Source organism: Homo sapiens, chromosome 4 (genome assembly GCF_000001405.40).
Source record: "Homo sapiens chromosome 4, GRCh38.p14 Primary Assembly".
Lineage (NCBI taxonomy): Eukaryota > Metazoa > Chordata > Mammalia > Primates > Hominidae > Homo > Homo sapiens.
Genome location: NC_000004.12, coordinates 151,399,510 through 151,422,053, shown reverse-complemented (window position 1 = coordinate 151,422,053; position 22,544 = coordinate 151,399,510). Strand labels below are relative to the sequence as shown.

Here is a 22,544-nt window from a genome sequence, read left to right as displayed (position 1 = left end):
ATAATTTGACAACAGTGCAGCCAAGGAAAAAATAGGCCTGGAACATCATTAAAAATGGTTGCATCCCCTAGTAGAACAAGATTTTGCTAACTTGCATACTTTGGTAAAAGGCAAGCCCTAAAGAGTACCATCACTGTCAAGACTCAAGAATACCTCAAATTAGATCATATATGTGAAAGTGCTTTGCAAACCATGAACTGCCAAGGAAACTGCCACTTCTGTTATTGGTGTGGCTATTACAAAGGCACAGACCTAGGAAGGCGATAGTTGTATGGCTTGAAGGAACTAGCTAGGTCTAGAAACAGGGGTCTTCAGCAACAAGAAGAAAAAAGTAAGAGAGGTCCCAGAGGATGCAACAGGAAGCCTCAATTAACAAAGAGATTCGGGGGAGGGAAGGGTTCCAGGTTAGCAAACCCCAACTCAATTCAACAAATATTTATTGAATGTCATGCACTGGTCTATGTATTGGGATATATAGCCAAGACTACCAAATATCACAAAGCTTTACATTCTTATGTGGGGAAAGAGTTAATAAACAAAAGACACTAACCAACCAGGGAACCACTGAAAAAATTTTTTTAAATTTTAAAAAGACATAAGTAAACTAAAATATGTTAAAAGACAAGTGCAGGAGAGCAGAGTAAGGGGGATGAAAACTACAGAGGATTTGCAATACTTTGAGCTTAGAAGACTAGCCAAAGAGGAGAATGAGGTCAGATTTCAAATGGTGTCCCTCAAAAATTACATTCAATTGCAGGAAAAATAAGAAGAGTCACACTGTGCTTATATGAAATTTGTGTAAAATTTGACAAATCCAAATTTCCTGGGAACACACAGCTCATTTTCCATATTGATCTCCTTCACCATTGTTCAAAATTATTGACCCAAATGTGCTATACAGAATATATAAAAAGATATAAAATGACTTAGCCAGAGGCAGAACAAAGGGAACTACAAGGGACAAAGCAAAACAGATGACAGCAAAAATCGTTGCAAATCAGTCCCTTAGGAAAGGGCAAATTCAAGAGGACTTTAAATGCGACTCAATTTTTTTTCTTAGAAAAGTTGGCTCTAGGTTAAGGATGATATAAAAGTTTCATTTCTAGTAACAACCTCAAACAACTGGCAAGGCCTCTCCGGAGCACTGCATTGAGAGAGCTCTGGGTCCTGTGGGGAATTAATTAGACATTTCTGCCATGGGCTCAAGATGGGGCACTGCAGGCATGCAAGCCCCTCATTTGCCTTTCCTTCCCTAGGTTGATCTTAGTGCTTTAAAAATATCAGTAATCACTCACTGGCAACCTACTAAGCAAAAGAAAAGCAACACTAGGAACAGTGGAGGGATGTGGAAATACAGAGTTAGGCTCCAGTCCTAAAGGAGTTTATAATCTAATTGGGAAGAAGGACAAATGTATAAAAGATAACACTGGATGGCAGCAAATGACTAAATTCCTAAAATTTCAGTATGGAGATTCAGGTGCCAGGAAACTACTACAGGAAAAGACAGCCAAGAAAGATTTTATGGAGGACACAGCTCTGAACTAGGCTTGGAAGAATGCACATCACTAAAATAACTGGAAAGAGGAAGGACTGGTCTCAACAAAGATGGGGAAAAAGGAAGAGGTAGGGTGTGTTCAAGAATGAGGAACAGACACTTCTCAAAAGAAGACATTTATGCAGCCAAAAAACACATGAAGAAATGCTCATCATCACTGGCCATCAGAGAAATGCAAATCAAAACCACTATGAGATATCATCTCACACCAGTTAGAATGGCAATCATTAAAAAGTCAGGAAACAACAGGTGCTGGAGAGGATGCGGAGAAATAGGAACACTTTTACACTGTTGGTGGGACTGTAAACTAGTTCAACCATTGTGGAAGTCAGTGTGGCGATTCCTCAGGGATCTAGAACTAGAAATACCATTTGACCCAGCCATCCCATTACTGGGTATATACCCAAAGGACTATAAATCATGCTGCTATAAAGACACATGCACACGTATGTTTATTGCGGCACTATTCACAATAGCAAAGACTTGGAACCAACCCAAATGTCCAACAATGATAGACTGGATTAAGAAAATGTGGCACATATACACCATGGAATACTATGCAGCCATAAAAAATGATGAGTTCATATCCTTTGTAGGGACATGGATGAAATTGGAAACCATCATTCTCAGTAAACTATCGCAAGAACAAAAAACCAAACACCGCATATTCTCACTCATAGGTGGGAATTGAACAATGAGATCACATGGACACAGGAAGGGGAATATCACACTCTGGGGACTGTGGTGGGGTCGGGGGAGGGGGGAGGGATAGCATTGGGAGATATACCTAATGCTAGATGACACATTAGTGGGTGCAGCGCACCAGCATGGCACATGTATACATATGTAACTAGCCTGCACAATGTGCACATGTACCCTAAAACTTAGAGTATAATAAAAAAAAAAAAAAAAAAAAAAAAAAAAAAAAAAGAATGAGGAACAGACCAGCATGGCAGTCAAAGCAAAGGATTTGCACAGAGCACCAGATCATAAATGCCCTGAGAATCAGCCAATGGTTCTCCAGAGAAACAGAACCAGTAGGAGATGTATGTGTGTGTTTATAAAGAGACTTATTATAAGGAAGTGGCTTACGCAATTATAGAGGCCAAGAAGTCTCAAGATCTGCAGTCAGCAAGCTGGAGACCCAAGAGAGACAATAACATAAGTTATAGTTTGAGTCTGAATCTGAAGGCAGGAGAAGACCAATGTCCCAGGTTGAAAACAGTCAAACAGAGAGAGAGAGAGGAGAGTGAATTCTCCCTTACTCAGTCTTTTTGTACTACTGAAGCCTTCAATAGACTGAATAAGACCCATCCACACTGGGGAGGGCAGTCTGCTTTACTGAGTTTACCAATTCTAATGTTAATCTCATCCAGAAATCCTCTCACAGACATACCCAGAATGTTTAACTAAATACCTGGACACCCTGTGGCCCAGGCAAGTTGATACATAAAATTAATTAACCATCACGCCTTGAGTTGAGTCATTACCCAGTAGGCAACAGAGACCATGATAGGTGACATGAGCACAGCTATAGTTTGGAAAATCAATTGACTATGGAATGAAAATAGATTAGAGCAAGAAAAACTGGAAAGAGAAACAAAATGAAAAATATTATAATTGGCCATATAATAATAAGAGGCAGATCATTAACAACAAACATTTATAGGATTCTATTCAATATAAGGTGCTCTGGTAGGCAATTAAGATGCAGAGTTACTCTCAACTCCTTATGGTTTACTTTGATGTCAGGATCTAAACATAGACCTATCCAGCAGGAACTGGTTAGAAACAAGCCTATGGTCCAAAGGTCAGCAATGAGGGTATGGATTTAGGAATTATCTGTATACCCAAGACAACCAAGTCAAGAGTTTGCTCCTGGCATGCCAATATTGACAGAAACTCAGAACAGCAGGTTGAGTTAGCCAGACTGAGTCAGGAAATCCTGTCAAAACTACTCATTTTGTGATTCACTGTGAAGGAATGACCACTTCTCTGTGAAACCAATCCTAAGACATAATCAAGAGGCAGAATTACTTTAAGGACAAAAAAAACACTCTCCAATTGTTGCAAGCTGGTTCTTACTATCTATAGCAACTCCAGGGTGTACTTTTCAAATAGGACATGCAAGGTCCTAAACACTGTGAAGAAGTATAAGGAGAAAATTCAGAGGTCAAACTTAATCAAGCTGATAAGAAATTAACATTAACCATTAAGTTTAATCAGTAGGTAAATATCAAGTCAGTTGGTGTTTCCTGAAACAGATCAAAGTCAATGAATTCATGTTGTCAGAGTTTCTCTTGTTTTTTTTTTTTTTTTTTTTTTTAGAGATAGGTTCCTACTCTGTCACCAAGGCTGGAATGCAGTGACATCATCCTGTGTCACTGCAGCCTCAAACTCCTGAGCTGAAGTGATCCTCCTGCCTCAGCCTCCCAAGTAGCTGGGACTCCTGGGGTGAGACACCATACCGCCTAATTTTTTGTTGTTATTGCTGTTAAGACGGGTCTCACTATGTCTCCCAGGCTGGTGTCAAACTTCTGGCCTCAAGCAATCTTCCTACCTCTGCCTGCCAAAATGCCCAGGATTACAGGCATGAGCCATTGGGCCTGGCAGATTTTTTACAAGCAGTTAAACTACAACATCTTGCTTAAAATAAGCCAAAAGTACAAATGTTTTGTAGTATACACAAATTAGAGAGATTTAAAAATTCAACTTATCAAATAGTGACTTAGTGTTAGAGAATAAGCAATAATCAAGACTAATACATGGTCAGGTGTGGTGGTTCACACCTGTAATCCTACTGAGGCAGAAGAACAGGGTCTGGAGGCAGGGAACCTAAGGCTGATTCATGCTGACTTCCTAGAACTAAATCAAAAGGAAAACCCCAACTTTCCACACCCAAGTAACAAAAGGACCAGAGGCTATTCCCTTTGCAACCCCCATCTCCTTGTTCCGCATGACAGATAAAAATCTGAAAGTACCTCGGATTGGTCCCCTCCCAAAACCAATCAGGCTGGTCACAAGCCAAGTCTTCCTTTGCATAGAAATATAATTTTGTAACTTCACTTCAGCCTCTGATTGGTCACTTTCCACAACCAATCAGATGTTTGCATAGGGTGTAACTCTGTAACTTCACTTTAGCCTCTGCTTGGTGCTTGGTCGCTTTCTGCAACCAATCAGACAGATCTTGGGCCACTACTTCATTTACATAGGGTGTATATCAAGTAACCAATGGGAAGCCTCTAGAGGGCATTGAAACCCCAGAAAATTCTGAAACCAGGCCCATGAGCTGCTTGCTCGGGCCTGCTCCCACCCTGTGAAGTGTGCTTTCGCTTTCAATAAATCTCTGCCTTTGTTGCTTCATTCTTTCCTTGCTTTGTTTGTGCATTTAGTCCAATTCTTTGTTCAAAGCACCAAGAACCTGCACACCCTCCACTGGTAACACTAGCACTTTGGGAGGCCAAGACAGGGGAATCTCTTGGGCCGGGGAGTTTAAGACCAGCCTGAGCAACATGCCAAAACCTTGTCTCTACAAAAAAATACAAAAATTAGCCAGGCATGGTGGCATGCACCTGTAGTCCCAGATACTCAGGAGACTGAGGTGGGAGATTCGCTTGAGCCTAGGAAGCTGAGGCTGCAATGAGCCCAAATTGCACTAGTGCACTCCAGCCTGGATGACAGAGTGAGACCCTGCTTCAAAAAAAAAAGGATAATACATTAGACATGTTGTATTTTCCCACAGAAAAGATCAAAATATGAATATATACAAACTATAAGTTTCCCGTGTCCTAAGAAATTCTTATTTTATTAAGAAAAATTTTTATACCAAGAAAATCAAGAAACATTTTTTCTAATAAATAAATATGGAGACATCATCCTTATTTTGAGGATGTACAAAGTTTTCTATTAAATGACCTGAAGAAGATCATACTTTTAAAACATTCCTTATATCACTATATACTTAGGCATAAATACACAAATGTGTACAATACATATGTGCATATATAAATATAGGGGGTATGTATGTGTGTATAGAAATTACATTTGTAAACATATTTTTCTATACTCATTCTAGTATATTATAAAGAAAATCAACCTAAAATGAATGGAATCCAAATAAAAGTTCCATGAACACAAACAAAATAGAAGATATTCATTTTGAGGAATAAGACACACTCCTCTAATGAAATGGTTATGAAAAAAAGCTTGGACTAAATAAAAATATTAATCAACTCTTTTAGACATTCAGTAAAAACTTTGCCACAGGAATTCCTGAAATGTTCCCACCTCAATGAGCCTGAGTCATGAAATTTAGCCAAAGTATCTTATTTCACATTTTCCACACACAGAGGGAAATCAGTTCCTAGAACTTTCTACAAGCCAAAAGATCCTAAAATGGACCCATGACTAATATTTCAACAGAGGTAAACTTTAACAATTTAAGGAGAAGAGCTAAAATACACTCTGCATTCTGCAAAACCTAGTGGATTTTCTGAACTCCTTAATGGCATGTCCTAAAATAATGTTCTTAGGAAAATGTTAAAAAAAAAAAAACACTATGCTCCATAAAAGCTAATTAGCAGCTCAACCAACAGCTGCAGAGTATTTTTATAGCTGTTACCAATTACTATCTTCTCTTGGGGAAAACATTAAAACCAAAAAGAACCTGAAATGTGAGGAAATGAGGTGAACCTTACCTAAAAGCTCAGCACCTTTTGCTGTTATGACCTCTTATTTCAGTGGCTGGTCATCTATTAATAATTTCTGTCTTCAGTCTTGTGCATTCAGAAAGAAAGAATATGTTCATATAACTAAAAATGAAGGGACACTACTAGAGGAAATGTAAATAAAAGAAATTTAACATTTTCATAACAGTGACTCACAAACCTTTCCTACAGAAAACACAAGTGTACAATGATAACACTTTCAAGGATGTTCTCTGAAGCACTGTTCTTAATATAGAAAAATGGAAAACAATCCAAATTCCCAACAAAAGGCTGTTTAAATAAACCATGTTATAGGGCCAGGCATGGTGGCTCACGCCTGTAATCCCAGCACTTTGGGAGGTCAAGGCAGGTGGATCACCTGAGGTCAGGAGTTTGAGACCAACCTGGCCAAACCCTGGCTCTCCTAAAAATACAAGAATTAGCCAGACATGGTGATGCACACCTGTAGTCCTAGCTACTCAGGAGGCTGAGGCAGGAGAATTGCTCGAACCTGGGAGGGAGAGGTTGCAGTGAGCTGACATTGCACCACTGCACTCCAGCCTGGGTGACAGAGCAAGACTCCATCTCAAAAAAAAACAAAAAAAAAAACCAAAAAAACTATATCTATTCAATGCATTACTATACAGCCAGTAAAAAAAACAAAATGAGAATGATGTGCATGTATGGTCATAAAAACATTTTCAAGGTATATTATTGAGTTAAAAATAAAAACCAAGTTGAAAGTTGCATAGGATTACCCCAGTAGTTATTAACAACCACGTTAATAATAAACATTTTTAAATAGAGGGAAAAATGAAGGGAAATATATCTATTTATAGCAGTTTATCCAGAATATAACATTGCAGTGTACTTTAACTTTTAACATTATATATTTCTATATTGTTTAGAATTTGAATAATATGTATCATGTATGTAATAAGAAAATTAACTCTCATTTAAGTTAGTGATATAATTGGAAAGGAAGTAGGAGAAAATCATATTTATAAAGAAAAGGATAAACTTAAGGGTGTTAACTTTTTATAATAGCTCTAAAATATCATTTGTCTCTACCTGTCTTTTAGAAGGCAGTAGTATCCTCACTCTCAGAACTTCAAAATTAAGCAAAACACATAGATACTGGAAAAGTCCCCTTAGCATCTCCCCTTAGTAATGCCTTCTGAGAATAAAAGTTTAGTCCAAATTCCAGTATTTATCAAATTCAACTGGGCAAGAATGCCAGCTTCTAAACATTGCAGACAAACCGCACATCTCTACTTCTAAGTAAAAGTAATTACAGAATTAACAACAAAAGGGTACAGATTCTGCAGACTCGAAAAACCATTTGAAGCATTTTCAAAATGGAAATTTAAGGAATTAGATAAAAATACTTTTGAATCTATAGTCCAGTAACCTGTTCAAAGATTGTAAAAACTAGATAGAGGCCAGACGCGGTGGCTCAAGCCTGTAATCCCAGCCCTTTGGGAGGCCGAGGCGGGCAGATCACCCAAGGTCAGGAGTTTGAGACCAGCCTGGCCAACATGGTGAAACCCCATCTCTACTAAAAAAATACAAAACTTAGCCGGGCATGGTGGCGCATGCCTGTAGTCCCAGCTACTCGGGAGGCTAAGGCAAGAGAATCACTTGGACCTGGAAGGCGGAGGTTGCAGTGAGCCGAGATTGCACCACTGCACTCCAGCCTGGGCGACAGAGTGAGACTCCGTCTCAAAAAAAAAAAACAAACAAACACTAACTAGATAGAAGGCAAAAGAACTGCCTAGAAAGGAAACTGAAGAATCACTAGCAAGGTAAAACTTTCTACCTGCCTGGGAAAGGTTTGTCTCTACAGTTGACCTTGTCTGGGAGAGGTTTGTCTCTACAGTTATGTGACCAAGAGCATAACATTTAAACTCCTACACCTCAATTTCCTCACCTGTAAAATGGAAGAACTGGGAATACATAATTTTGGCTCTAAAATTCTGACAAAAGACCTTTGCTCCATCCTTGCCAAAGGGCTTTTTTTTTTAAGTAATACATATGAGGCCAGGCGCGGTGGCTCATGTCTGTAATCCCAGCACTTTGGGAGACTGAGGCAGGCGGATCACTTGAGGCCAGGAATTCGAGACCAGCCTGGCCAACATGGTGAAACCCTATCTCCACTAAAAATACAAAAATTAGCCAAGCATGTTGGTGCATGCCTATAGTCCCAGCTACTCGGGAGGTTGAGGCAGGAGAATGGCTTGAACCCAAGAGGCGAAGGTTGCAGTGAGCTAAGATTGTGCCACCGCACTCCAGCCTGGGCAACAGAGCGAGACTCTGCCTCAAAAAATAAATAAAGTAAAATAAAGTAATACATACGTACACAGTATAAAATATTATCTAATATTATAAGGTACATAGCCAAAAACAGCAGATTCCTGTCTGGCTCCTCCTCACCCCTGAGTTTCATTCTCCGAAAGAAGGTCCTTCAACTCTTTTAGCTATTTCTTCTGGTAATTACTTCTATATTTGTAAATCATGCACTTATACTGCTATTTACAGAGTTTTTCAATTTTAGACATTGCCAAAATTCCTTATTCAATCTATCAAGGTATTTATTCACCTACGCCACTTCCCAAGATCTCCCTCCCAAATTTAATGGAGGTTACTTCAATTTTATTGCACAGCTATACTGTTGAGATGCCAAGGCTATACAGACTATATGTTACATGTGTACACACACTTACACATACACATATATGTACATATTCATATATAGTCCTGTCATCCTGTCTCCACATGAGCTCATATTTTGGTTAATAAGAAATAAGAGGGCCAGGCACGGTGGCTCACGTCTATAATCCCAGCACTTTGGGAGGCCAAGGCAAGTGGATCACCTGAGGTCAGGAGTTCGAGACCAGCCTGACCAACATGGAGGAACCCCATCTCTACTTAAAATACAAAATTAGCCAGGCGTGGTGGTGCTTGCCTGTAATCCTAGCTACTCGGGAGGCTGAGGCAGGAGAATCCCTTGAACCCGGGAGGCAGAGGTTGCGGTGAGCTGAGATCACGCCATTGCACTCCAGCCTAGGCAACAAGAGCAAAACTCCATCAAAAAAAAAAAAAAAAGAAAGAAAGAGAGAGAGAGAGAAAGAAAGAAAGAAGGGAGGCAGGGAGGGAGGGAGGGAGGGAGGGAGGGAGGGAGGAAGGAAGGAAGGAAGGAAGGAAGGAAAGAAAGGAAAGAAAGAAAGAAAGAAAGAAAAAGAAAAGCCCATTTCACATCCAACCACTTCACAAAATGTAACAAGGAAAAAAGTGAAAGCATGGGCTGTAAATCAGAAATCCTGAATTCAGGTCTCAGTCCACAATATACAGGAGCAAAGAGTATGCCCATAAAAGTCCCTTATTATTGGCCGAACACAGTGGCTCACGCCTGTAATCCCAGCACTTTGGGAGGCCGAGGTGGGTGGGTCACCTGAGGTCAGGAGTTTGAGACCACCCTGGCCAACATGGCGAAACCCCATCTCTACTAAAAATACAAAAAAAATTAGCTGAGCATGGTGGTGGGCACCTGTAATCCCAGCTACTCAGGAGGCTGAGGTAGGAGAATCGCTGGAACTGGGAGGCAGAGGTTGCAGTGAGCCGAGATCACACCATTGCACTCCAGCCTGGGCAACAAGAGTGAAACTCCGTCTCAAAAAAGTCCCTTATTATCTCTGAACCTCATCTGCTTTCCTCCTGTGTAATCTAAACACAATGGCATCTACTACAAAATGGTTAAATCACAAGGCACAAACATGGTACATGAAAGCACTCTGTGAAACATAAAGCACTACAGAACTGTTCACTTCTGTTATTGTTTTCATTAAGAGATCCCTATAAATGAAGTTCCTGGAGTTTCTTGTCACTCTTGAGCACTGTTCCCCTACCTGGGCTAAGAACCAAGGGTTGGAAGTTGCTAAAAATAAGGATGAAGTAGATCTAAATTGTGTTTCAATGGCAGAATCTGATCCAGATCTTCACTGGGCCTACGTATCACCCTAGAAGACAGATGTACACAGAATAAAGATCAAGTGTCTAAACAGATTAAATAAAGCAATTTTGCTTTATATTTGCATGGAGAAAGGAGGTTCCTTATTAAATTTTCTTTATGAAAGTAATACAAGAGGCCAGGCATGGTGGCTCACACCTGTAATCCCAGAATTTTGGGAGACCAAGGCAGGCGGATTGCTTGAGTCCAGGAGCTCAAGGGCAGCCTGGGCAACGTGGCAAAACCCTGTCTGTATGAAAATACAAAAAATTAACAGAGTGTGATGGCATGAACCTGTGGTCCCAGCTACTCAGGAGGCTAAGGTGGGAGGACTGCCTGAGCCCAGGAGATCAAGGCTGCAGTGAGCCGAGATCATGCCACTGAACTCTAGCCTGGGCCAGAGAGAGAGAGAGACCCTAACTTTAAAAAAAAAAAAATATATATATAATTTCACTCCTCAGAGGCAATTCTTGTTTTTTCTCATTTTACCTCCATATCTCTACATAATATATTTGTACATCTGCTTCTTGTTTGCAGTCATTATCTATCAAGTTCCTATTAAAGAAAGAACTTAGCAGAGAAAGTATTTTGAACCAATCTTGGGAGGCAGAGTACAGAACTGTCCAGCAATGCATCACTCTGACTATGTAAAAATAAAACACTCCTTTTATTTCTAGTCTTCAAGTCCTCCATTAAAAGTCCTACACAATGTCTTTATATGAGAGCCAAGAAAAAAGGTAGCTGGGCAGTTGGACCTAAATTTTTAGACCACTCTCAATCACTCTCTGAATCCACTTCAGTGATGTCCAGTTTCTCTGCCCCTTTCCAGCCACCCTACACAGTTTAATCCTGTTCCTTGTCCTACAGGACAAATGATAAATAGGACCCCAAACTTAATTTATTTCAAGACAGGCATGGACATAATTCTTATGAGCTCTGCGGAAAGGGATTAACTGGAACTAAAAAGATATCAACCTTTAATTATGCGAAAAGTTACCTAAAGCCAACAAGTATACTGTATTAAAGAGTAAATTTATGGACTAAATATCCTGCTCAATTTCGGTCCAAAGAAGACCTTTGAAGTTCTCCAAACGTGGACTTCAGCTGTGGTTCACTACATGTGGACAGCTTCGGGGACAGCATCCTGCCTAGTGCCAGGTGTACAAGTGAACTTGAGGTCAGGCAGGTGACCCTGACAAGCAGGCATAATACATTAAGGAGAGGAAATCTTCCCTCTCATTAATCAACAGGATAAAGGTAATTAAGCAGGAATTATTTTTCAATGACCTATATAATTTCATCAGGGCTGCTATGACTATTAGCAGGGAGCAGCTGACTTCCTAATGAGATGAATTTGATAGCACAGCCCTTCCAGAGAAGCCAAGGGAGCAAGCCCAATCTATAGGGAAGCAACAATTGTTAGGCATTGTTTACTCCTCCTCCTGAAAGCTGTCTCTCCTTCTCAACATTTGGCTCTTTCCCTTCAGGGGGGTTTCCCTGTCCCTGGATAGCTGGGGCTGCAGCATCTGCTGAATAGTGGAAGCTAGATCTGCTGTGAATGGGTGGGTCCAGGAGGCTGGGACACTAATTCACTAGACCTGCTCATGTGATTCCCAAAGTCCCAAGCCAACAAGGCTACCGCCGCCTGCACCAACACCTCGCTCTGACCAGGCCTGAAATAAGACACCAAGGTAGTTCTTCCCACTCCCTAGCAGAAGCGGAGTTAACAAGGGACCTTTGTTGAGCCAGAGGAAACACAAACACATACACACTATCAATAATAACCACGACTTGAACGCAGTTTCATCACAGAATTTACGAAATTGAGCAACAGCTACCTAACCAGTAAGTCCTTACACCAGGAAAGGGCTGCAAACCTCAGAGGGGCACCGCCTCTGTCTCCTGTGTAAGCAAGTTGATTTACAGGGGAAACCTGAACTCCACATCTCTTTGCCTTTTCCTGTGCCTCCCAGAGGACCCTGGGACCAAGGAATGGGATGGAGGGCCCTAATGACATATTCCTTCGTCAAAACAAGCTGGCTCTCTCTCTCCCAGGGTCAGTCACCGCGTTACGCCCCGTCCCGGAGCCCGAAACCCTAGAAGTCACCTCCTCCCCCCTGCGCCCCCGCCCGACGCAGCGACCTCGTTTGGAACATCCCCAGCCGGCCCCCAGCCCAATGCCTGCTCCCTCAGCCCAATGCCCGCACCCCCTGCCCAGTTGGCGGATGCAGAGAAGGGACATTTCGACTCTCCCTCCTCCTTCAACCCTCTAAAATAAAAGAATCCCTCAAGCGCAAATCTCCGGCCAGCACAGCACCTACCTGTCCCCGGCCGTGGCTCCTCCTCCCCGAGCAGTGGGGCTCGCTGGACAAGTGTCCTCAGATAGTCCAGAAAGTTTGCTCTGCGGTCCCGGGGACGCCTGCGCGGGACCCAGTGAGGAAAGCCGGGCTGGCTCCTCGCACCTCGGGCGGCCGCCGCTCGAAAGTCTTGGCCCAGGTCCTCCAGGCCCGGCTCAAACTCAGGAGTGCCCGGGAAGAATGTAGGTCGTGAGAAGGTCGGAGCGCAACTTTTCGAAGGTGCGTCAGCCGCGGGCTGAGGCGCGTGGGTCACTGCCTCCCCCCAGCCTCTCCCTAGTGAGCGCGGGGGGGGCGGGGGCGGGGGCGGGGGCCGGGGCGGGGCAGGGGCGGGGGTGGGGCCCAACCTGCCTGGAGGCCTCGGGGAGCGCGCCCCGGCCCCGCCCCCGCCGCCGCCGGCCCCGCCTCTGCCGCTGGGACACGCCGCCGCCAGGTGCGCCGGGGACTTAGGCAGTGCCGCGCCGCACGGCCCGCGCCGGTTTCCAAGGTGAAGGAGGAGGAGCCTCTGAGGGAAAGTTTCCACAGAAACTTGAGCTGGGCGCAGTGTAGCACTCGCGCCCTTGGGGGCTAGCGTTTGGCCGGAGCTACACACTCTTTACTCACGCACGCACACCGCCGTACACAGCACAATCGTTCACCGTCCCGCCAAAGGCTCGTCTCTCGGGTTCTGCCTAGTGGAAGGAGTCGGACAACGCCGCACGTCACGGGCGTTTCGGATTTCTTGCTTCCCAAAGGTTTGACGGCGGCCACCGGCGCCCCGGCCCAGCTCTGCTTTCCTTTGCTGACTCCTTCCTTTAGGTGTGAATTTTAAAATGCTGATACCGCCCCAAGAGAGCTGAGTCAAGTGAGGCAAACGTTCGCCTGTTGTTCTCCTGACAGACTCCCTGCAGTGGGCAGGGGAAATGTGGCCTTGGCCGACATTAATGAAGTGCCAGGATGGAGGGAGGGGGCCTGCTGATTTGTTCTGTTTTACTTTTTAAGGGTAACTAGAGCGTTACTGGAGTCGTCTGTGGGTTTGGGGAGTATGTGGCGCGTGTGTGTGTCACACATTTCACTGGCAACTCCCGCCAACCCCTTCCCAAGAAATGAAGGCTCTAATGTGGGCAGTTCTGCAACAAAGGTGAAACTTCCCCAAATCACGATTCCCCGCAAGATGAGAGAGCAGGTGCAGCATCCATTTTCCCACTATCACGCTTGAGATGGTGGCTTTGGGCACTGCCGGGTGCCCCGACATCCTTCCCAGAGCCCAGCCTTCCCACCCAGGCCCGGCCCTGCGCGGCCGCCTGCCTTTGCATCAGAGACCGCGGCTGTGCCATTGCCAAGGTGGGCAGCGCCGCCTCGCTTCCCCATTCCTCCGTCTCCCACGCCTCTTGCGTGTTTGAGTCGCGAAGTGATGGACTTTAAATCTCAGAGGAGGAATGAGAAACTTGGTTAGTGGCTCTCTTGGCATGTTCGTAGCCCTGTGGTTGAAGTGGCTGAAACCTGCGTTGAGCCTCAGTCCAAGCAGCTGGGGCCACACCAGTTTGCAAAAGCGGATGTGGCAGTTTCCACCGCAGCAGCAGCCTGCTGGCGCCTCATCAGATTCTCCTTTGGAGGAAGTATCTTCTTCCCTTCATTCTCGGTGAATGGCATCCAGAGATAACCAAAATCAGGTGTATCTAGTTTCAAGTTCTGTCTTGCAACCGTGATAATTGGAGGATGCAAACTTTACACTTTCTTCTCTAGCTGTCTACCACCACTGCTGCGCTTGTGGATGACTGCAGGAACACCGGGTACTTGCCACAAGTATCTCTCCAGATTCATCAGCCTTTCACCTGTGACAAGCTCAGTCAAGAAGTGGCTCCTAAGTAAAAGCTGGGGAAGAACAAGGAAGATAGAGCTCAGAGTAGAAAGCTGTGAAGTTCTGCACAACAGGTCCCCTTGGCCTGCTCTAACAGTTGGAAGGTGGGGGAAGCATTCATTTACTCAACAAATATATACTGAGTGCCTTTTGCATGCTAGGCACGCTTCTAGGGGTTGAGGACACAGCAGAGAGCACAAACAACAATTCCAGCCCTCGTGGAGCTTACCTCTTCCACGTGGGAAAGACAGATGGTAAATGTATAAGGACAATATATGGACTGCTGTATGATTAGAAATGCTATGGAGAGGCTAGGAGTGCTGTCTCATGCCTGTAATCCCGCAGTTTGGGAGGCCAAAGGAGGAGGATCACTTGAGGCCAGAAGTTGGAGACCCAACCTGGGCAACATAGTAAGACCCCCTATCTACAAAAAGTTTAAAAATTAGCCAGGCATGGTGGCGTGCACCTGTAGTCCTAGCTATCCAGGAGGCTGAGGTGGGAGGATCACTTGAGCCCACTGCATTCCAGCCTGGGTGACAGAGTGAGACCCTGTTTTGAAAGAAAGAAAGAAATGCTGTGGATAAAAATTAAGCAGAGAGGGTACATAGAAAGTATGAGGGGTGCTATGTTCGGAGAGGGGTGATGATCAAGGAAAGCTTCTGGAGGAGGTAACATTTGAGGAACGACTTGAGGGAGGTTAGGGATATCTGAGCAGACAACTTCCCAGGCAGAAAGCATAGCAAATGTAAAGGCCCTGAGGCAGGAGTATGCCTAAGTGTACTAGGAGCAATCCAGAAGGCACCATGAAAGAATGGAGAAGATGAAGTCAAAGAAGTGAAAGGTGGGGGTGATGCAGATCAGGTAAGGCTTTTACTCTGAGTGAGTTGGTTGGAGCCATTGGAGGATTTTGTGTAGAAAAGTGACACTTTCTGACATTGTAATTGGATCACTTTGACTGCTGGGTTAAGAATAAACAGTAGGGTGTAAGGGTAGAAGCACAGAGACTGGTTAAGAGGCTACTAAAATAATCTAGGGTCAGCCGGGTGCGGTGGCTCATGCCTGTAATTCCAGCACTTTGGGAGGCCAAGGTGGGTGGGTCACAAGGTCAGGAGATCAAGACCATCCTGGCCAACATGGTGAAACCCCGCCTCTACTAAAAATACAAAAAATTAGCCAGGTGTGGTGGCACGCACCTGTAGTCCCAGCTACTCAGGAGGCTAAGGCAGGAGAATCACTTGAACTCAGGAGGCGGAGGTTGCAGTGAGTAGAGGTTGCAGTGAGCCGAGATTGCACCACTGCACTCCAGCCTGGGCGACAGAGCGAGACTCCATCTCACAAAAAGATAATAATAATAATTGAGGGACAAGAAGATAGAGATGTGGACCAGAGAAATAGTGGTAGAGATGATAAGCTGATGGTTTCCTCACATTGGATGTGGGGTATAAAGGAAGGAGATGAGAAGGACTCTGAGGCTTTTGGCCTGGGCAGCATAAGGATGGAACTGCTATAACAAAGTTGGAGAAGACTTCAAAAGGAGGTTAGGGTAAAATCAAGGCAGGAAGGAGAGGCGCATAATTTGAATGTGGGCAGCGTAAGGACGGAACTGCTATAACAAAGTTGGAGAAGACTTCAAAAGGAGGTTAGGGTAAAATCAAGGCAGGAAAGGAGAGGCGCATAATTTGAATGGTCTTCAGTTTCTTCAACTTATAAAATGAAAGTAATACCTACTTTGTTAAGGTTGTTTTAGGATGACAAATTAGCATAGTGAAGTGTATAACACAATGCCTAATACATGATAGACACTTAAGAATGTTAGTTCCCTCTCTACAAATATGAATTTCATTCATATCCATTATGCCCTCTGGGAGTGAAACAGACTCATTCTTTTGAGGAAATAAGTCTTGCTAAAGGTAAAGGGGCTGTCTCCTTCTCCCATTCTTGCCATATGACACTGTCTGCTCTCTCTTTGTCTTCCACCATGAAGACAGGCATGGTAGCTCATGTGGAAGCTTCCCGAGGCCCTCACCCAGAAGCAGATGCTGGAGCCATGCTTGTACAGCTTGCAGAACTGTAAGCCAATTAAAACTCTTTTCTTTATAAATTAAAATAGATAAATAAAAATAAAGGATAAGCAGATGTGGTGGTACGGGCCTATAGTCCCAACTGCTTAGGAGGCTGAGGCAGAAGGATCAATTGAGCCCAGGAGGTCGAGGTTGCAGTGAGCTTTGAGTGCCACTGCACGCCCACCTGGGCAACAGAGTGAGACCCTGTCTCTTCTTAAAAAAAAAAAAAGTTGGAAAATATCTATTACATGGAAATATATTTATAATATTGTATAAAGTAAGTCTACTATAAAAGTAAGTGTGTAAAGTAAGATTCTCTTTACAAATATTAATAATGATTATCTCAGCCAGGCATGGTAGCTTATGCCTGTAATCCCAGAACTTTGGGAGGCCGAGGCAGGTGGATCACCTGAGGTCAGGAGTTCGAGACCAGCCTGACCAACAAGGTGAAACCCCGTCTCTACTAAAAATACAACAATTAGCTGGGCGTGTTGGCAGGCGCCTGTAATCCCAGCCACTCGTGAGTCTGAAGCAAGAGAATCACTTGAACCTGGGAGGCGGAGGTTGCAGTGAGCCAAGATTGCACCATTGCACTTCAGCCTAGGCAACAAGAGTGAAACTCCATCTCAAAAAAATCATAATAATAATAATGATTATCTCAGTACTAGGATGACAGTTTATTTTTATTCTCTGTGCTTTTCTCTACTTCCAAGTTTTCTGCCATAGGAAGGTATCACTTTCTCTCAGGAGTGGAATTGCTGGATGATAGGCTGTATATACAATGAGATTTAGTTGATACTGCCAAACAATTTTCCAAAGTGATTATACCAATTTATGCTCCCACTGACAACATATAAGAATTCCAATATGGAGCAGTGCGTTTTTTAACAGCATCATCCAGTTAAACAGCAATTAATTTGAACCTACTGCTTTAGAAGTTAATTAAGCAAAAGTTAAAAATAAGTATATTGGCTGTAAATGCATATATTAGTAACAGTAGCCGTTTCTAAATCATGTTTTTTATTAATGTATTTCATTTTATTCTTTTTGTTTTGTTTTGTTTTGTTTGAGACGGAGTTTCACTCTTTGGTCCAGGCTAGAGTGCAGTGGTGCAATCTCGGCTCACTGCAACCTCCGCCTTCCAGTTTCAAGTGATTCTCCTGCCTTGAAATTGCAATCCCGAGTAGCTGGGATTGCAGGCGCCCACCATCATGCCCAGCTAATTGTTGTATTTTTAGTAGAGATGGGGCTTCACCATGTTGACCAGGCTGGTCTTAAACTCCTGACCTTGTGATCGGCCTGCCTCGGCCTCCCAAAGCGCTGGGATTACAGGCATGAGCCACCATGCCTGGCCCCTCTTTATTCATTTTTTATACTCTTCAGCTCTGTTATTATAGTACTTTAAAGCACTGAAATTATATTTCTTTATTGTAGAAGCCAGTCAAGACTTCTCCCTCTTTTTCTTACCACCTTTATTTCCATTTTAAAATGTAATTATATTTGAAATTACATTTTTTTCAAATTATTAAACGTGTTAAATACTAGATATTCAAGATTACATGAACAAAGGAGAGAAGTATTTCATCATTCACACACACACACATACATACACAAATTCTTCTTTCACAGAGCTCATAGGACTATAGATCTTAACACTCCTATGAGGAAGTGGACAAAGTGCATCATCTGTGTTTAAGAAAAGCAGAAGCTAAAATGCAACATAGGGAAGTTGTCCCAGATACCTTGGAATTGAAAGTAAAAAGTACATGAAGACATTATCATCTGTAGTCAGATTAAATCTAAATTTAAATTATCTTCTGTAGTTGCTTCTCTTAAAAAAAGAGCTCAAAAATGAACAATGTGTATTCTGTTATAATAGTAATCATGCTGTCAAGAAATTCTTTTTTCTTTTTTTTTTTTTGAGATGGAATCTCGCTCTGTCACCCAGGCTGGAGTGCAGTGGCACGATCTCGGCTCACTGCAAGCTCTACCTCCTGGGTTCACGCCATTCTCCTGCCTCAGCCTCCCAAGTAGCTGGGACTACAGGCTCCCACCACCACACCCAGCTAATTTTGTGTATTTTTAGTAGAGATGGGGTTTCACCGTGTTAGCCAGGATGGTCTCGATCTCCTGACCTTGTGATCCGCCCACCTCGGCCTCCCAAAGTGCTGGGATTACAGGCATGAGCCACTGTGCCTGGCCAAGAAATTCTTTTTTCTAACAAGTACAATTAATAAAAATATGTTAGCAGAGAGGGTAGTGGCAGAGATTCCCACAATAGTACCCAGTGCTCAGTCTGGTGGAGTTGGCAGTACATGCTGCAGCATTTTTGCCAAATAGTGGTAATAATGGCATGTCCATTGGAGTAGATCTATAATATGATTTGGGTGTTGTTCCTAGTTATATAGCTGTCAAGTTTACATAACCTCTGTGGACAACTTTATAGATTCAATAAGCTACTTAATATTATAATAAGTTATTTTCTTTTAAATCAGCTGCATATGTTTTCTGCAGTTTGTAGCAGAACTCTTGACAGAGCTGTATGTTACATTTATTTTTGTCTGTTTTCAATGGCCAAGACATCAAGTACTGTTTTGCAAGGTAGTGGTCATAGTGGGTGTATTAGTCCGTTCTCACACTGCTATAAAGATACTACCTGAGACTGAGTGATGTATAAAGGAAAGGGGTTTAATTGACTTACAGTTCCACATGGCTGAGGAAGCCTCAGAAAACTTACAATCATGGTAGAAGGCGAAGGGGAAGCAAGCACCTTCTTCACGAGGCAGCAGGAGAATGAGAGTGTGAGCATCAGATAATGTGAGAACTCACTCACTACCAGGAAAACAGCATGGGTGAAACCGCCCCCGTGATCCAGTCACCTCCCACCAGGTCCCTCCCTTGATACATGGGGATTACAATTTGAGAAGAGATTTGGATGGGGACACAGAGCCAAACCATATCAGTGGGGATCATTGTGTTGTTATCAAACCTAAAGGGAATACAAGGTAGACACTACTAGTTGCCTATTCAATTTCAAGTCTCTATTTTTATCTTTCTACCAGAACGCCCTCCCCGCTTTTTTATAGCAGCAAAATGCAACCACCTTTGCAACTACAGGTAGTTATATGACACAGTCCAAGCCAATGGAATGTAAGAGGATGTCCTTGCATGTACTTTCAGAAAGCCCAGCTGGCTTGGTTCCATGAATCTTTGCCCTTCTTTCCATCCACTTCTTCCTGCTTGGACATTGGTTACCTGGAGAAGCAGAAGCCATTTTAAGATGATGAAAGCAAAAGTTAAATGTATGAGATGATGGTGCAGAAAGCCAAAAGGGGCCTCCAGAACACTGAGCTTTGTGGAGTCGTGTACCATAGCTGTATTGCCGACCTCTGAACTTCCTGCTGAGATAAAAAACAATCCTTATGTGTTTATACTACTTTTATTTCAGTTTCTTTTAAGTATAGCAAACACATTCCAAATAATATGCATCTGAAGTTTTTGGTTTTGTTTTTAAATTTTTTTTTTAGGGATGGGTTCTGGCTGCGTAGTGGCTAGAGTGTAGTGGCTATTCTTAGGTGCGGTCATAGCTCACTACAGCCTCTAACTGGCCTCAAGCAATCCTCCCACCTCAGCTTCCAGGGTAGCTGGGATTACAGGAGAGCACCACACTGAAGTTTCTGTTAAATAGAATGTTTGCTGTAGATTTTTAGTTGATGTCCTCTGTTAGGTTGAAAACCTTCCTTTATTTTCTTGTGAAATTTCTAAGAGATTTTTAAATCATTAACTGGTATTGAACTTTATAAAATGATTTTTCTGTGTCTGAGATGATCATGTGATTATTTTTCCTGTTTATGTCCCTTGATGTGATGATTTTTATTGTAGATCTTCCTTTATTGAACCAAATTTACGTTATTTATATTAACCCTATTTGATTGTAATATATTTTTAGTAGGGTATTAGACTCTGTTACCTAACATTTTACTTAGCATTATTTTGCATCTATGTTCATAAGTAAAATAGGAGTTTTTTTCTTTATGTGACTAGGTATCAACATTATATTGGCCTTATAAATTATGTTGAACACTTTGCCTATTTTTTCTGTTTTTCCAGGGCAACTTGTATTGTAGGAATCATCAGGCAATAAGATGCAGGGAAAACTCTGGATACTGCATACCCAAAGTTGAATACATTTTTCTTCTTTTTGAAACTTTTAATACACATAAAGACAAGTGCACGTATTATAAGTATATAGTTCAGTTTATTTCGACAACCTGAATAAACCCATGTAATCAGCACCCAGATCAGGAAACAGAATCTGGAAGCTTCCTTGTGTCCCCTTCCAACCACTATTTCCCCTCAAAGTTAATCCTGACTTCTAACTGCATAGATTTGTCTTGTCTATTTTTGTACTTTATATAACTAGAATAATAGAATAGATACTCTTTTGTATCTGTCTCTCTGGTTCTTATTTGTAAGATTCATCCATATTGTTGATGTTGATGTGCTTATGGGTAGTTTATTATTTGCTGTATATAGTATTTCATTGGGTAAATACTCCATGAATTAGTTATCCATTACTACTTATAAGTGTACAGCTCAGCTTATTTCCACAAGCCAAATAGACCCATGTAATTGATGGTTGTTTGGTGACAGAGAGAAGGGTTTTTTTTTAAATCTTTTAAAATGCATGACAGGAAAGTAGAATTACTTAAGTATTAAAAAAACAGTAAGAAGGGGAAATTAAAATGGTGTAGCTACTTTGGAAAATAGTCTGATAGTTCCTGAAATAATTAAACATAGAGTTACTATATGACCCAGCAATTGCACTCATAGGCATATATGCAAGACAAAACATATGTCCACACAAAAACTTGTACATAAATATTCATAGCATCATTAGCCACAATATCTAAAGGGTGAAAATAATCCAGATGTCCAACAACTGATGAATGGTTAAACAAAATGTGGTATACCCATATAATGGAATATTATTTGGCCATAAAAAGTAATGAAGTGGCCAGGCGCCATGGCTCACACCTATAATCTAGCATTTTGGGAGGCTGAAGCGGGTGGATCACTTGAGGTCAGGAGTTCAAAACTAGCCTGGCCAACATGGTAAAATGCCGTCTCTACTAAAAATACAAAAAAAATTAGCCAGGTATGGTGGCAGGTCCCTGTAATCCCAGCTACTTGGGAGGCTGAGGCAGGTGAATTGCTTGAACCTGGGAAGCAAAGGTTGCAGTGAGCCAAGATTGTGCCACTGTACTCCATCCTGGGTGACAGAGCGAGACTCCATCTCAAAAAAAAGGAATGAAATATCAATAGGATATACACTGCAATATGGATGAAGCTTGAAAATATTATGTTACATAAAAGAAGCCAGGTATGAAAGATATTATTGTATGGTTCCATTTATATGAAATGTCCAGAATCAAAATAGACAAATCCATACAGGCAGAAAGAGACTTGGGCAGTTAGAGTTAAAGAGGGGAATGGGGCATGACTGATAATGGATACAGGGTTTCTTTCTGGTGTCATGAAAATGCTCTGGAATTAGATAGTAATGATGGTTCTACATGTAAATATACTAAAACCACTCAATGCATACTTTTAAAAAGATGACTTTTACAGCATATGAAATATCTGTCCATTTTTTTTAAAGGAAAGTAGAATAAAAGAGCGCCAGAGCCGGCACTTGTCTGGAAATTATCCACTGATCCCTGGTGGCCTACAACCTGGGTTACAATGGGATATAAATGAAGGGACAGGAGACAAACCTTTAGAGGAAGACACTAGGAGAAGGGGGGTGGCAGTGGAATCCACAGAGGAAGACAGTGAAGATATGTGCCTTTTTGAGCCTTGGCCCTGGGTGGAATGATTTTAAAAAAAAGTTTCCCCTGAAAATCACTAACTCCACACCTAATTTGGAGCCAAAATTAATATTATCTATGTGGTCCAAAAATACTCCAAAAGTTTAGATCAGATGGGTCCTGGATTGGTTGTACCTCTAGGTGCCCAGC

General features: G+C 42.4%; 1 protein-coding gene and 1 long non-coding RNA gene across 15 annotated transcripts in view, besides 6 other annotated features; one reads left to right on the top strand and one right to left on the bottom strand.

Moving 5' to 3' along the window:
• The window catches only part of FHIP1A (FHF complex subunit HOOK interacting protein 1A), a 261,328-nt gene extending 248,450 nt beyond the window's left edge, over positions 1-12,878 (bottom strand). For 4 of the 7 annotated variants that reach the window (NM_001109977.3, XM_005263199.2, NM_001348694.2 and 1 more), the window contains exon 1: positions 12,589-12,878. The gene's annotated coding sequence lies outside the window, so the exon portion shown is untranslated. Of the gene's footprint in view, positions 1-6,252; positions 6,331-12,588 lie in introns of all 7 variants that reach the window. The other 3 variants (XM_024454201.2, XM_047416127.1, XM_011532221.3) reach the window with 1 other exon arrangement.
• Positions 12,908-13,607: an enhancer, noted in NCBI's record as "H3K27ac-H3K4me1 hESC enhancer chr4:152329599-152330298 (GRCh37/hg19 assembly coordinates)". NCBI's record gives its function as "activates a minimal SCP1, AML or CMV promoter by ChIP-STARR-seq in primed H9 embryonic stem cells {active_cell/tissue: H9 hESC(primed)}" and the evidence as "EXISTENCE:reporter gene assay evidence [ECO:0000049][PMID:30033119]".
• Positions 12,908-14,448: a biological region, named in NCBI's record as "H3K27ac-H3K4me1 hESC enhancers GRCh37_chr4:152328899-152329598 and GRCh37_chr4:152329599-152330298".
• Positions 12,919-13,088: a silencer, noted in NCBI's record as "silent region_15748". NCBI's record gives its function as "represses an Ori minimal core promoter by ATAC-STARR-seq in GM12878 lymphoblastoid cells {active_cell/tissue: GM12878}" and the evidence as "EXISTENCE:reporter gene assay evidence [ECO:0000049][PMID:35858748]".
• FHIP1A-DT (FHIP1A divergent transcript) lies at positions 13,162-20,978 on the top strand. Of its 8 annotated transcripts, NR_183959.1 has the most exons (4): positions 13,162-13,419; positions 14,347-14,565; positions 16,446-16,531; positions 19,705-20,610. It is a non-coding gene; the product is annotated as an FHIP1A divergent transcript (long non-coding RNA). The 8 variants fall into 8 exon arrangements; NR_183962.1 differs by lacking the exon at positions 19,705-20,610 and adding an exon at positions 20,635-20,978 and having other exon boundaries at positions 13,162-14,565; NR_183963.1 differs by lacking the exon at positions 19,705-20,610 and adding an exon at positions 20,635-20,978 and having other exon boundaries at positions 13,162-14,871.
• Positions 13,209-13,681: a silencer, noted in NCBI's record as "fragment chr4:152329525-152329997 (GRCh37/hg19 assembly coordinates)". NCBI's record gives its function as "represses an EF-1alpha promoter that drives an FKBP-Casp9 reporter gene in an ReSE screen in HepG2 liver carcinoma cells {active_cell/tissue: HepG2}" and the evidence as "EXISTENCE:reporter gene assay evidence [ECO:0000049][PMID:32094911]".
• Positions 13,608-14,307: an enhancer, noted in NCBI's record as "H3K27ac-H3K4me1 hESC enhancer chr4:152328899-152329598 (GRCh37/hg19 assembly coordinates)". NCBI's record gives its function as "activates a minimal SCP1, AML or CMV promoter by ChIP-STARR-seq in naive H9 embryonic stem cells {active_cell/tissue: H9 hESC(naive)}" and the evidence as "EXISTENCE:reporter gene assay evidence [ECO:0000049][PMID:30033119]".
• Positions 14,139-14,448: an enhancer, noted in NCBI's record as "active region_22021". NCBI's record gives its function as "activates an Ori minimal core promoter by ATAC-STARR-seq in GM12878 lymphoblastoid cells {active_cell/tissue: GM12878}" and the evidence as "EXISTENCE:reporter gene assay evidence [ECO:0000049][PMID:35858748]".
• Positions 20,979-22,544: the final 1,566 nt, after the last annotated feature.